At 39.0% G+C, this 15,194-nt stretch overlaps 1 protein-coding gene across 12 annotated transcripts in view, besides 2 other annotated features; it reads left to right on the top strand.

Annotated features, from left to right (window-relative positions):
• TULP4 (TUB like protein 4) overlaps window positions 1-15,194 on the top strand; it is a 279,634-nt gene that overhangs the window by 47,408 nt on the left and 217,032 nt on the right. For 9 of the 12 annotated variants that reach the window (XM_047419082.1, XM_047419087.1, XM_047419084.1 and 6 more), the window contains one exon: window positions 2,661-2,776. The exons of the other annotated variants lie outside the window; for them this stretch is intronic. The gene's annotated coding sequence lies outside the window, so the exon portion shown is untranslated. The remainder of the gene's footprint in view (window positions 1-2,660; window positions 2,777-15,194) is intronic. 12 annotated transcript variants of the gene reach the window in all.
• Window positions 5,897-6,611: an enhancer, noted in NCBI's record as "H3K27ac hESC enhancer chr6:158706531-158707245 (GRCh37/hg19 assembly coordinates)". NCBI's record gives its function as "activates a minimal SCP1, AML or CMV promoter by ChIP-STARR-seq in primed H9 embryonic stem cells {active_cell/tissue: H9 hESC(primed)}" and the evidence as "EXISTENCE:reporter gene assay evidence [ECO:0000049][PMID:30033119]".
• Window positions 11,313-11,362: a silencer, noted in NCBI's record as "silent region_17738". NCBI's record gives its function as "represses an Ori minimal core promoter by ATAC-STARR-seq in GM12878 lymphoblastoid cells {active_cell/tissue: GM12878}" and the evidence as "EXISTENCE:reporter gene assay evidence [ECO:0000049][PMID:35858748]".

Raw genomic sequence — 15,194 nt, forward strand, 5'->3', positions numbered from 1 at the left:
GTGTTTAATATCTGATTAATTATGTTAAGAAAAAAAGAGAAAAGAAAATGGAGACTCTCTCTCTCCCAGGCCAGCCATTTGACGATAGCGTAATTGGGAACGTGTCCTTGGCCTCTTTCCTCCTCCTCCCCGCTAGAATGGTGTAGGTCCTCTTCACTCTTAGTGAGATATACAGCAGACCTATTCATTCTCTTCCAAGAAGTTCTCAAAACAGCAGACAGCTGTGAACACTTGATACGTGTTTGGCTTGGAATTCAGCATGTGAACCTCTGCTTAGATGGTTTTTCCCTAGACCAGAGGGCTTATTTCAGAACACAGTTGTGAAGTGAGGTGATGCTTCTTTACGGCGCGGCTAAACGTGTGCCACTAACTGCGTGGATAGACGAGATGCACCACGGTAGACGTGAGGGTTTGACTTTCTCCATCCATAACTGGGAAGTTAAAGTTGACAGTTTGGTAAGAAGGAAAGTTGCGTATTTCTCGTGTATTCCATCGCCATTTCCTTTTATTTATCAACGTGAATGTTGAGAGTTGGGCCTCAGTATGAATTTTAATTAGAATTGTAGTATAGCATTAATCTTACCATGGTAGCAAGACCAGTGTAATATGAATACACTTAAAAAAAACTTATACATTAAAAAATGAATAATTGAAGCCATGCCAAGTCCATGATACTATGCATTCATGCCATTTTATCTTTTTTTAATTGCCTTTTTATTTTTGATATTTCAACTGATCATTTATTACCTTTTCCTCCCTGGTTATTTAAAGTTATCTTTTCTTCATTTTTCTTTACCAGGAATCTATTTTATTAGCGTTTTGGTACAAGTGGCTACCTGAATATAGATTTTATTTTTGTTGTGAAAATTAGTTTCTTACAGAAATTCTTCAGTGAAATTAACAAGTGCCTCATGCCAAAGGAGAAAACTGGTCAGGAGGAGTCCCTGCATAGTTTGATTTCCACTTAAATGAGGCCCTGCCTCAGTGTCTGTGCAGCTGTCTAACTGTTGGCTGCTGAGACAAGTCTGCAAGCCTAGCTTTCCTTATGGAGTGGTGATAGTTGGGTGATTAATTGAAGATATGATTTTGTATTTGAGGACCCATGCAGAAGAAAGTCTCACATTCTAATGGTCTTTGAAAGGTGCACTCTTTTAACTGTTTAAATTGGGAGAGAGAAATGCTGTAATTTGTCATCTAAATTAGAAAGTTAAGGCTGTTTTATTCTGCTTAGCACAGTGCCTGGGATGTTCGGCACTCAAGTGTTTGCACAGTGAATGAATAAATGGACAGATGGATGGATAAATAAATTTAGTTGATCTTTATTTTTAAAAAATATTTTATTTAAAAAGAAATGAATAGCAGATACCTTACATTAAACGTGAGGAGTAATAACTCACTTGTAGCTTTTGCACTCTCATTTCTTTGGGCAAATGACTGGGGTGAATGGATTATGACAGGGGGCCAGGGTGAACCACCTCACTTTGTGGGTGTTATCGGAGGGATATTTAAAAAGGCAGAAGGAGAAAGAACATCTCATTTGTTTCCATGCATTTTACTGGTATCTCAGCGAGGTAATTCAGACTTAAATCCTAGGTTGAAATTCCTGCCGTAATTTTTTTTTTTTTTTTGAGACGGAGTTTTGCTCTTGTTGCCCAGGCTGGAGTGCAGTGGCACGATCTCTGCTCACTGCAACCTCCGCCTCCTGGGTTCAAGCAATTCTCCTGCCTCGGCCTCCCGAGTAGCTGGGATTACAGGCGCCTACCACCATGCCTGGCTAATTTTTTGTATTTTTAGTAGAGATGGGGTTTCACTATGTTGGCCAGCTGGTCACCTTAGTTTTTATTTATTTATTTATTTACAGAACTGGCCTAAATGTAGTGAGGCATTTCCATTCCGGTTTTTATCCTTCCATTAGCCAGAAGGGTTGATGGGGGCAGGTGGTTACATTTCACAGCGAAGCAGGGAGGTGGGTAAATGCAGTGCCGAGCCTTAGAACCAATCCTTAGCTTGTTAGCTGGCCTCATTAAGAGTCATGATTTTTAGGGAGAAGGGGAAGGACAGGTTCTCTTTTCTATTTTGTTCATAGCATGTTTTGGACCACATTAACCTAGCCCTTAAAACACTGCTTTTACTGAGTTACCCATTAATGTTAAGCTTTTATTCATGTTTGCTATAGGAAATAATTGTAAACCCTGTTTTTACATTTGTGTGAGATTATTGTCTTTGTCCCTTCCACCATCTGATGACTCTTCCGTAGTGCTTCATTGGTGACTTTTCTTCAAAATTTAATACTGGGAAAAACATTTTTCCTGGCTAACTAGTCAGTTTCCTCATTTCTGATAAGATTTGTGTAATCTATCCTGAGTCTCTCTTTGCCCTGATGAAGAGTATACTTCAGGCCAAGTTTTTTATAGTTTGCATTAACATTTTTGCTGTCTTCTTTTTCTTAGCTCTATTTTTCCTTTTAAAAGTTATTATAAACAGTCTTATTTTGTATGTGCTTTTAATTAGGTGCTTTATATTCTTCTCGGAAAGAGTCATGTTTCTAATAGATTCTTTAAAACAACAGTGCATGTTCATTTTTAAGTACTTTGAATTTATGCTTTTTGCTTCTGGAACCTTTTCTCGCTAACCCTAGTTAATTTTTCTTTCTCGTTTAGTCCTGGGTCAAGCTGAGTATCTCCACGTTTAGGTGCACAAATACTATTTTGTGAAGATCTTAAATTTGTGGTATAAGAACTTGAAGGAAATAGAACTGATTTGTTACTTCTAAAAGGTAAGCTTTTGATAAGTGAATATGAATTCCCTCTAAGAACTAGATGATATAAATCATTGCTGAACCCCAAACTAATGTTCATTATGTCCAGCTGTGATTATAACCTTTGACTGAAATGTGGGTTAAGGGGACATTTGGATCATTATCTTTTTTCCTGCTACCCGGTGTCTACTCTTTGATTTGAGGTAATGCTAGTTTCTGGGAAGAACGGCTACGAGATTTAAATCCTGCCATTAATTTTCTCATGTTATATTTGTGTACCTATAGGGCATGGTAGTAGTCAAGAATCAACTGAATTTTCCCTGACAGTTTTTATTCTTGTTGGTGTTAATTGTAATAACACCTGTGTAAAGCAGGCATCTGGATCTTCCAGGACCACAGATGCTTTCTTGATGAACCCCATGTCATGGTAACCCTTTCTCTGTCTAGAATTATTTTAATTATTTCATATACAGAACGTTATATTATATGAAAATCTATGGGCTGGGTGCGGTGGCTCACACCTGTAATCCCAGTAATTTAGGAGGCCGAGGCGGGCGGGTCACTTGAGGTCAGTTCGAGACCAGCCTGGCCAACATGGTGAAACCCCACCTCTAAAAATACAAAAATTAGTTGAGCATGGTGGTGGCACACACTTGTAGTCCCAGCTACTCAGGAGGCTGAGGCAGGAGAATCGCTTGAATCCAGGAGGCAGAGGTTGCAGTGAGCTGACATCCCACCACTGCACTGCAGCCTGGGTGACAGAGCAAGACTCCGTCTCAAAAAAAAAAAAACAAAAAAAAACCCTATAAAGACGTTCATCTGTAAGAACCTAGATACAGTGCCGCCACCATGGCTCTATGGCTTCTTTTAGCCTCATTTTGCCAACTTGTAACTATTAATATCTTCCATAAATGGTTATTGTTGTAATAAAAGAAAATCATTTTTAGAAATTTTGAAACACTATGTCTAGCTACATTCAATAATAATTGAATCAGAATAATAAATGTTTCGAAGCCCCTGGTGGTAGTTCACTTATTTTCCACTCTGTATAACAAAATTCTTGTGTAAAAGGTAAGGTTTTGGCTTGTGCTCTGAATCTTAGCACTTTACAGCAGGCAGAGCACAGCGTCCCCTTCATTCATCTTAGTTCCTTGTACTTGGGGTTTCCTGTGTGCTGTTTCCTGCCTGAATTTGATTCAACTTTGGATCTGTGTGCTTGTCCTTATAGAATTATATATGCAAGTGATACTACTGTGTTCTTAAACTGTCCTCTTTATTGGTGGAAGTACCAGTAAATAGAATCATTATATTCACTTACCTACCAGTCATCCTTCAGAACTAACTGTTAAAGTGCAAGTTGGTCTCCTTTCACTAGGAAATAAACTGCCTCCAGCCTTCTGCTTCAGCAGGTCTGCTTCTTGCACCTCAGGCTCCTCCTCCACCCCAGCCAGCTTCAGCCTCTCTCTTGTATTGGCTGCTTGTGTTTTTCTTCACCCTCTGGGAGTCCCCTGGGGTGTCCTCCTCTCCTTTGACGGCTTATGTAGTTTCTGCGCCCATTTAACCTCAGGGAATGATTTCTAAACCACATCCAAAGTGAAAAGTGGTAGATAATGGACCCTCCTATAAATGAGGCTGACCATATATTCTGGAAAACTCTCCTACTCTAAGCCCTTAGAAATACTGCAAAAGATACAGCAAACATCCGTTAAAAGTCTTTATCAAAAGAAAGTGAGAAAAATCCATAGGTGGGGAAAAAGAGAAAGAGGAGTGAGTGTTTTTGGGAGACAGAAGGTCTAAAACTGAATTGGGAAGTGAGCACTGAAGGCCGGGGCCTGGGACTCATTCAGGCCAGATGGAGACCAGGCTGGAAAACAAAACAAAAACATCCATCAGCAAATGGAGTTAAAAAGAAAAAGTCTCTTTTGAGACTGTTTGGCTTGGGATTTGAATTAATGCTACCTGCATGGTCTGGAAAACCCCAAGCTGAGAAACGAATCTAAATGCTTCTGAGTTGGAAGAGCCCAGGGCTGCTTGGCAGAAAGAAAGAAATGCAAATCCTTTCAAGAAGAATGCTACCCTCTACCCGCTGCTGAAGAGCTGGGGATATGCTGACGATAGAAACATTGCTAGACATATAAGGAAATGAGCCGCCGTGAATGAGAGTCAGCTTAAAGTCAGTGATGACGTGCCATCTGCTTGATTCGTTCATTCCTCACTTTTTAGCTGACCACCCATTATATACTGAGTGCTGTTCTCAGTGCTGTGGTTATAATGGCAAAACATTATGTGGAGAAATAGGTACTGAGCTGCTGACCAGAGGCTTTGGTACATTTGGCCTGCAGCCCTGCCCACTTCAGGGCTCTCAGTCAATGCTAGAAAACTGGTGCTTGGCTGGTCCCAGTTTGAAAACTGCTGATTATGTTAATTCCTGGATTTTACAAATGAAAAAACTGAGACCACAGTGGTTAAGTAACTTGCCCGAGGTGTGAGCCTCGGTTTCCTTGCCTGTGGAATGGGGATGATACCTACCTCACAGGGTTTCTGTGGCTATGAAAGGTTAACCAGCATGTTTTCTGCCTCAGATATGTCTATTCTTCCTTTGTCTTCGTCTTTAATGATCACAGATAGTACAAGGACCCAGTTCTCCTGCTTTTCGGGTTCAACACTTTTCTGTTGCTGGTATGATTCTCAAGGTCTTTGATTGTTCAAGCCCTACACAGAGCTTCACACCCTCACTCTTAATTGTTCTCTGATTATTTCATGTATGTGAATTTCCCCTTCCTAACAGATTGTGAACAGTTTACGTTCAGGGTCCAGATTTTGTATTTTTATGTTAGCTTTATGTTGTCTAGTCTTGGACTGGTCTGTTAGTAGATTTTTTGTTGTTGTTAAGCAACAATAAACAATTCTTTATAACAAATAATATGTTGTTTATTAACAATAAACAACATATTATTTGTTTATTGTTGCTGGATTAATCACAGTAGTTCCATTGTAATGAGGAAACAAGAATATTTCTGTCCAAAAAGTCATTATGCGAGAGTTTTGGCAACGTAAGGAAACACTTTTGCTGGCCATTTATGATGTTGACATCTGTATTCTGCCCCTTCAGTCTCTGACTGATGATTCCTACCTGAATTCCTGCTGTGGTTTGCCTTACAGTACAGGCCTGCTCATTCCTTCTGTACCAGGCCTGTTTGTGAGTACTGTTCACCACCCTGAGATTCTCTCTGTATGTTGGAAATCATTGAATGAATAGCTCACAGCCGCTTCCATGTAGTTGTAAGCACATGTATTAGGATTGGAAGTGCATCCATTTGTATGGGCACGGGTCCATTGTTAGCTTTGTTCCCCTGTCGCCCTGCCCTGCCCTGCCCTGATCTCTGGCCTAGATGGACAATGTGGGTGTGCTCTCTGTGTCTTCCCTGTCCATCTGTTGGCCGAGGGTCAGGCACTTCTGCTTACCATCAGAACCAAGAAGGAATCACTTGGAATTCATCCCTCCCATAGAACCCAACTGTGGCTGGGCTATAGCCAGGGCTCTGTTCGGTTGCTGGCTGCGTTTCAGCTCTCCATTTGAGTCCTTTCTATATGAAAAACATGAAAATGCCAGGGGATTATTTTTGCAAGTAAAAAAGATGGCAGCAGATGTGAAAACAGATTTACTCATCATGATGTAAATTGGTGTTTTGTTTTCATTTTAGTTTAACAATATATAGGTATTCATGAAAATATTTGGCTGTAAAAAATTAGGAAAATTACAAACTGCCATTATCTGTTGCAATTCATTCAATTCAGTTTTTTTTGGAAAGAACTTGAAATTGTAAGTTAAAAAATTTACTGAAATTTGTGCTAGTTAAGCTTTAAGAATTCTAAGTAATAATCCAAAAGACATTCTAAAATTCAGATTTATCAAAATCAATTGTACCTTTCTTTGTACAGATATAATAATTTTCTGGAATATGGAATGTGGTGGTAGAAGTAATGCAGAATTGTTTTGCCATAGCCTTTGTTTTCTCTCGCAATTATTTCTGTGTTTCTTCTGTTTTATAAAGGAAATGGATTGTGTTTAGTAATTTCCTCTGTACCTGTAACCACGAGAGTAAACTTTTTATTACATCTAAACTTGTTTATTCTTGTATACATGCTAGATCATAGACTAGTTGAAATTTTCTGTGTTACCATGGGTCTGTGAAAAGATCTTGTCTTACTGGTCTTGTATTCCTAGTAAATTTCAGTATGATGATATCACTTAAACACTGTAACTGTGGGACATTGGCAGGAGCTTGGGGATATTTTTAGCTACTTGGAACTCTTATTGTAATGGTATTTATTAGTAATTCAAGACAAATTTTATTGTTTAATTATGCTCTATGGGTTTATTGCCATCCAAGACTGCAGTGTTTTAGATGACTAGAATTTAGCTTTTTAAGAACCCCAAATTTTTATTTCAGCTCTTTCAGTGGAAAATTTTCTAAAATATGCTATTTCCTTCTTAATGAGAAGATAGTGAACATAATAGGACTTGTAATTTCCCACTTGAGTTCATCTCTTTATTCTTTTGTGAGGACGCACAGTAATGCTTTTGGAAGGGGTCAGCATGTTGGGCTTCTTCCTACATTTAATGGTCATTTGCCAACAGATATTTACTGAGTTCTTTTCTAGGTCTGGAGATTCAGTGATGAAGGCATTATTTCTTGCCCTCAGAAGGTTCATATTGTAGTAGGGAAGATAAACCAGGTAGTAAATCTTAGAACACAATGGGATGTTTACAGTGAAGAGGAGAGGCCAACCTGGAGTATATGGGTTTGAGATCCATACAGATCTGGGTTCAAATTACAGGGTGAATGGAGTTGTTAAGCTCCATCTAGCATTTGCGTGGCCAGACATATGCATGTGTAGTGTTTATTTCTGTCGTGGCAGTAAAAAGACTTCTCCTGTAGTTTATTGGCCTATAAAATAATATAATTTACGACATCATTGGAAAAGTATTTTTATTCCTATGTAGGGTCATTTGTTTCTAGAGTAGAACAGTTTTAACACCGTATACAAATAAAAGCACTTTTATTCAACTGAACATGCATTTATTGAATACGTAATATATACGTACATTTTGCTTGCTAGATGTCTTGATGAATAGACATTTAAAAGTCCTTACCCTTAAGTAATTCCCAAGTTAGCACGGATGATAAGGGCTCAAATACTTATAATATGGTGTAGAATTGAATGAGCAACTTAAGATAGAAACATTTGCTGTAGAAGACCATACTTACTAGGGAGGAACTGGCAAGGATTTATGGAATCGGTGATGTCGAAGCTGCATCATGAAAGATGGCTAAAGTTGGGGGAATTTGGGATGAGCATTGTACTTGGATGGATTAGCTTGGAGCTTAGTCCAGGCAGTAAATATATTCATACTTTGAAAGGAGAGTAATTTTTATAGAGGACCCTGGTGGAAGACAAGACTGGCACAATAGGTAGGTGTATGGCCCTTCTGTGAAGGCCCTTGAATGCCAGGCTGAGGAGGGTGTTCTTAGCCAGTGAATGTGACCAAGTGACTGTTTTTAAAGTGGCAAATGATACTATTGCAGCTGTCCTTTAGCCCACTGGCAAAACGGGTGAATATTAACTGAGGGGAGGTCATGTGGTCTACGGTGAAGAGCACTGAAATTATCAATTGGTTTGAATTCTGGCTTCAGCACTTAATATGCTGGGGGGACTTCAACTTCAGGCAAGTTGCTCAAAACCTTTCTGAGCCTCTATTTCCTCATAGAGAAAATGGGAATAATGATTCCTTTTATATGGCTGTCTTAAATGACATAACATTTATGAAATCACCTTTAATAATTTGCATGTCCAGTTTGTTTGGGATTTCAGCCTAGGTGGTTTGTTTTCTTTCTTTCCAATCTTCCTATACCTTATATTGATTTTTGTTGTCTTCTGTGGTAGCTCGGACCTCCAGTACTGTGTGGTAGTAGGGTTCTCATCTTTCTACTTTGTCTGGGATTTCTAGCACAGCATGATACAGACATCTTTATCTTAATTCTTAAATATGATGTTTGCTATAGATTGTAGGTAAATATCCTTTATCAGAAAAAGGAAATTCTCTTCCTAATTTGGAATCTAAAAAAAAAATGAGTGTTGAATTTTTTTTTTTTAAGAAGGAGTCTCACTCTGTCGCCCAGGCCGGAGTGCAGTGGCGTGATCTCGGCTCACTGCAAGCTCCGCCTCCCGGGTTCACGCCATTCTCCTGCCTCAGACTCCGGAGTAGCTGGGACTACAGGCACCCGCCACCACGCCCAGCTAATTTTTTGTATTTTTAGTAGAGACGGGGTTTCACCGTGTTAGCCAGGATGGTCTCGATCTCCTGACCTCGTGATCCACCCTCCTCGACCTCCCAAAGTGCTGGGATTACAGGCGTGAGCCACCGCGCCCAGCCATGAGTGTTGAATTTTAGGATACTTTTTTGCTTGTATTGCAATAATCTTTTTCCCTGCTCTTTACTCTTTTAGTATGATGAATTATATCTAATAGATTATATTTCTAATTAGTAGACAAACAGATTTTCTAATAACCTCTTAGAACTAGTTGTGGCTATTATCACTTTTTAAATATTCTGATTGAGTTTGTGTAATACTGCTGTAGGCTATTCCTGAATGTTTGGTAGAACTCGTTTGTAAACTATATGGCCTGATTTCTTTGTGGGATGATTTTAAACTACAGATTCATTTTCTTTAGTGGTTATAGAACAATTTAGACTGTCTTTCTTCTTGAGGTAGTTTTGTTAAATTGTGTTTCTTAGGAATTTACTCATTTCATATGTTATCTAATTTTATAACATTAAGTTGTTCATGGTATTATTTTATCTTAAGTTTCATGGTGTCTGTAGTTAGTTGTAGCCCTCTTTTCATTGTCAGTATTTATTTGTGCTGCTCTGTCTTTATCTATCTTGCCAGAGCTTTGTGTCTTTGATTACATTTTGCAAAGAATCAGTGTTTGGCTTTGTTTAGCTTGTCTAATTTTTTTTTCTTTTTATTTATTTAATTTCTGTTTTTACTATCTTCTTCCTTTACTCTCTTTTGGTTTATGCTGTACTTTTCTAACTTCTTTAAGTTGAATGTTTAGCCCCTTAATTTATAACATGTTTTCTTTTCTAACATAAGTTTTATAACATTTTATAACAGTTTCTTCTTTTATAACATAAGTTGTTGTTGTTGTTTTGTTTTGTTTTGTTTTTTGAGACAGCGTCTCATTTTGTGGTCCAGGCTGGAGTACGGTGGTGCAATCATGGCTTACTTCAGCCTTGACCTCCTGGGCTCAAGTGATCCTCCTACTTCAGCCTTCTGAGAAGCTGGGACCACAGGCATGTGCCACCATGCCTGGCTGATTTTTTAATTTTTTGTAGAGACGGGGTCTCACTGTGTTGCCCAGGATGGTCTTGAACTCCTAGGTTCAAGCAGTCCTCCCACCCTGGCCTCCTAAAGTGTTGGGATTGCACATGTAATCCACCATGCCCAGACTAACATAAGCATTTAAGGCAATGAATTTTCTTTCAAAATACCACCTTTGCTATAGCCAAGAAGTGTTTTGTTTTGTTTTGAGACAGGGTCTCACCCTGTCACTGGAGTGTAGTGGCGTGATTAATGGCTCACTGCAGCCCCCACCTCCTAGACTTAAGCCATCCTCCCACCTCAGTCTCTTGTGTAGCTGGGACCATAGGCGCATGCCACCATGCTGGCTAATTTTAAAATTTTTTGTAGAAACGGGGTCCCACTGTGTTGCCCTGGCTGATCTCGATCTCCTGGGCTCAAGCATCCACATCAGCATTTGTTATTTTCTGACTCTTTTAGTAATAGCCATTTTAACTGGGGTGAGAAGACATCTGCTTGTGGTTTTGATTTGCATTTCCCTGATGATAGTGATGTGGAGCACTTTTTCATGTACCTGCTCTCCATTTGTTGTCTCCTTTTGAGAAATGTCTTTTCAGATCCTTTGCCCATTTTCAAATCAGAATGTCTTTTGCTGTTGAGTTCCTTATATATTCTAGTTGTTAATCCTTTGTTGGATGAATAATTTTGCAAATGTTTTCTCCCATTCTGTGGATTATGTCTACTTCGTTGATTGTTTCCTTTGCTGTGCAGAAGCTTTGTACATTTTCATTTATTTTTCCTTTTGTATTGTTTTTCTCTTTCTAGGGGATTGATTTTGGTCTCCCCTGCTCCCACCTCCCTTCTGTTTTTACCCCTCCAGTGATTTAGAAGTTTTATACTTTATTTCTAGTTTTTTAGTGATTGCCCTTTAAATTTTACCATGCTTACCTAAGATAATTAAGTATAAGGTTGAGTATTTTAACTATCCTTCTAAAACAATATAAAGGCCTTAGAGTACTTTTGGCTCTGGTCATCCTTGTTTGATCAAATTGTCTTTTTTTTATTTTTTAGTTTTCTACCTTCCCCCCCACATTTGTCATAGACACAGTCTAGTGGTTAAGCACATAAACTAGAAACTGAAACCGGCAGCCTGGTGTGACACCCAGCTCTGCTGCCTACCGGATAGTGTCGGGCAAGCATTTAACCTGCCTGTGCCTCAATTTCCTCACCTATAAAATGTGGACAACAAAAGGATCTTTCTCATAAGGCTAAGGCTTTTCAATGAGAAATATAGTACCTATAAAGCATTAAGAGCTATACCTAGAAGTTGATAAGTACTGTGTATTAATATGAGTCTGCTGTTTCTGCTTTATTGTTCTGTTTTGAACAGACATTGTTTAATTTTACCTACATATTTAACAATTTCTTTTTTCGTTGTTTCTTAGACCTTCCTTCTGAGACATTTTCCTTCTACCTGAAGAATATTGTTTAGATGTTATATTGCGAGGTCAGTTGGCCTTAAATTTCAGCTGTTATTCTTTTGAAATGGTCTTCTTATTTCACTCTAATTCTTAAAAGACAATCTTTCTGGGAATATAATTGTGTTTTCTTTGAGTGCTTTGAAGATACTATTTCATTGATTTTGGCAGCCAGTGCCGCTGTTGAGATGTCTCTGTCATCTAATTGTCATTCTTTTGTAAGCACCTGTCTTTTCCTTTTGGCTACTTCTGAACTCTTCTCTTGGTGTTTTTATTGTGCACTTTTACTAAAGTGTGCCCAGGTGTGGATTTCTTCTTTATTTCTCCTGCGTGGCATATATTGTGCTGCTTCTTGTGTCTGTGCATTTTTTTTTATCAGTTTTGGCAAATTCTCAGTTGTTATGTCTTCAGATATTTCTTTTCCATTTTCTCTGTTCTGTCCCTTTAGAATTTTAATTAGATTTGTCCTTTTTTAATCTATCTTTCATTTCTCTTGATCTCTTATATTTCTATCTCCTTGTGTCTCTGTGCTATAAAAAAATTGGGTAATTTCTTGAGCTATTAGATTGAGTTCATTAATTCCTTTTTTAGCTGATGTCTTAATTGTAGACTGCATTTTATTGAAGGAATAGGTTTTTCATTTCTAAAAGATTTGGTTCTTTCTGGCATTTTAGATAGTGTTTTGCTTTCTAATTCCTTTAAACATTTCAAACCTAATTATTTAAAGTTCTGTTTATTTCAGTTTCTGAAGATTTGGGGATCTAAATTTGTTGTTTGTACTGAGAACTCATGGTGACTTATTTTGTGTGTTTAGTAATTTTTAATTGTAAACAGATTTTTGGTTGAACCTTATCTGGGGGAATCCTTATTTCCTAAATTGGGACAGTTTGCATGCAGCTAAGATTTGTATTTGCTCTGATATACAAGGATGTTAGAATTGTGGGACACTTTAGCCTGTGAGTCCTGCTGAATGTGTGTGACTCAGGTTCAGCCTCTGTACCTAGAGGTTGGACCAAAGTCTCGATATCTGATAGAATGACCAACTGTCTGGTTAGTCCAGGACTGAGGGGTTTCCTGGGATGTGGGACTTTCATTGCTAACACTGGGACAGTTCTGGGTAAACTGTGACTATTGGTCACCCTAATTCCGATTCCAGTGCTTGTTTTGTATCCGCTCTTGTGTCCCCTGTCAGATGACCCTGGCTTTCCCTTATGTTTATGTGTATGTGCCTTCCATAGAGATTTTCTATACTTTCCTGCAAGTCCAGCAATTAAAAATTACATTTGTTGTAATTTACTCAAGATCTAGTAGTGTGCAGAGGCCCTTTCAGAGCATTGTGGAAGTGTAACATGTAATTTTACTTTTTACTTCCTGAGAACGTCTTTTCATGTTGTTTTGTAGTCTTCTACCATATAATTATTAGTGGTTTTATAGTATTCTGTTTTATGTCTTTATCAACGTTTATTCAACCAATACCCTGTTTGGACATACTGATTATCTCATATTTTTCCCTTATACAAACGCTATAAGAAATCCTTATAGCCAAGTCTTTGCACAGTGTAAGATTATTTCCTTACGATAAACTTCCAGAAGTGGAATTGATGAATCAAAAGGTTTTGCAGCATTTTAAGTCTTTTTGAATTATATCACCAAAGTACTCTCTCATTTCTGTGTACCCTGTGTGACATGTGACACAGGCTATTATTTCTTTCAGACTTCGTTGCTTTGATAAATAAAATGCCCCCCTTTTTAATGAAGGCACCTGACTTTTGATACTGGTGAGCCCCAATATGGTACCACAGTATTTTAATATCTGAGTATCAGGTGTAGATTCACTCTAAGAAGTAGCTAACTTCCACTTTCTTTTAAACTACTAATCAAGCAGTTTGTCTGCAAGCTCCATTCCCTCCTCTCTCTGTACAGATAATTACATGTTCATATTCTCAGAATCGGCTATTGAAATCAGCCATATAAAGTAAATAGGGAGTAGCTTTCCTTGAAAATACACCTCTTTGTGATTCTCTGAACTTGGCAGTGGACCTGTGGCCCTTGTGGCTTTTGCTCACAGGGCTGAAATGCCCACAGCCTTGGGCTTCCAAGTGGCTGGTGTTGACCTGGGGTTCACACACAGAAACTCATTCAGTTCATGTTTATTGTTTCCCACTTCCCTAAACTGAGGCAATGTGCCATGCTCAGTACCTTATTGAACACTTAATTCAGTGCAGGGGTACTGGTGGGAATTGCAGGTAGCATAAAAATTGGAGTAAAACATAGCCTCTGTTTATGAGTATATGATTTAGGTAGGGATAATTAATTAAATAAAAAATTACCTCTACCACAGGCAGAAAGACCCTTGCTATATGAGTCTGCTTATGTGCTCAGTGCTTCTGTGTGCCACACCTGAAAGAGATGGTTGTGTTCTGAATAAGACAGAATTCTATAGACTCCACCTCTGTAAGTTACAATGCAAGTCAATGGGAAAATGATTTGAGACTACCACAGTTGTAGAAACACATCTTTTGAATAATCCTAGTCATACATTATTTATCTCACTAGCACGTTTTGAGAATTAGAGGTAGAAAATGATAACACAATAAATATATAAAATCATTGTTAAATCCCATTACCTTTGCAGGGATGTTAGTTTCTTCTGGATGTATGTGTTTCCCTGCGTTTGTCAATAGCCACATAACGAGTGGCTACTGAGAGTATTCCAGCCTTCAAAGGCAGGCTCTGAGTGCAAATTTGAACCAGCCTCGGGGCAGCCATTAAAACTAATTAGGAAACAAAACTACCTCATGCTCAGTGAATATTTGTAGGTTCTGGAAAATTCTGAAAGGAAAGGAGTGATTCTAATTAGAAGCAGGTCATCGGGCCAGGCGCAGTGGTTCACTCCTGTAATCCCAGCACTTTGGAAGACCGAGGCGGGTGGATCACCTGAGGTCAAGAGTTTGCAACCAGCCTGGACAACATGGTGAAACCCTTTCTCTACTAAAAATACAAACATTAGCTGGGCGTGGTGGTGGGCACCTGTAGTCCAGCTATTTGGGAGGCTGAGGCAGGAGAATCGCATGAACCTGGGAGGCAGAGATTGCAATGAGCCGAGACCGTGCCACTGCACTCCAGCCTGGGCGACAGAGCAAGACTCCATCTCAAAAAAAAAAATAAAAAAAAAAATAAATAAAGCAGGTTGTCATAGTTACTTTATTTAAAAAGAAATGCAGAGTTCAGGACCTGCTTCCATCTGTGGACAGAAGGGCAACGAAGGGAGGCCTGGGTGTGGAGAGGAGGAAAAGGGACAGAAAGCACAGGATCCCTGTTCCTAGGTAGTAGAGCTGTGAGGACGTCCTGTGTCCACATCCTCCATGGGTCCCTAAGGTAGCAGAGTCAGCCTCCCAGGAGGAGAAACTGGGATGTGTTTGATTCAAATCATTAAACAGGAAATTCTCCTCCTCCTCCTCTACTTCCTTCTCTTCCTCCTCCTTTCTTCCTCTTCCTTCTTCCTCTTTTTTCTTCTTTCTTCTTCTTCTTCTTTTTTTGAGACAGGGTCTGGCTCCTGTTTCCCAGGCCTGGAGCACAGTGGCGTGA

Source organism: Homo sapiens, chromosome 6 (genome assembly GCF_000001405.40).
Source record: "Homo sapiens chromosome 6, GRCh38.p14 Primary Assembly".
Taxonomy (NCBI): domain Eukaryota; kingdom Metazoa; phylum Chordata; class Mammalia; order Primates; family Hominidae; genus Homo; species Homo sapiens.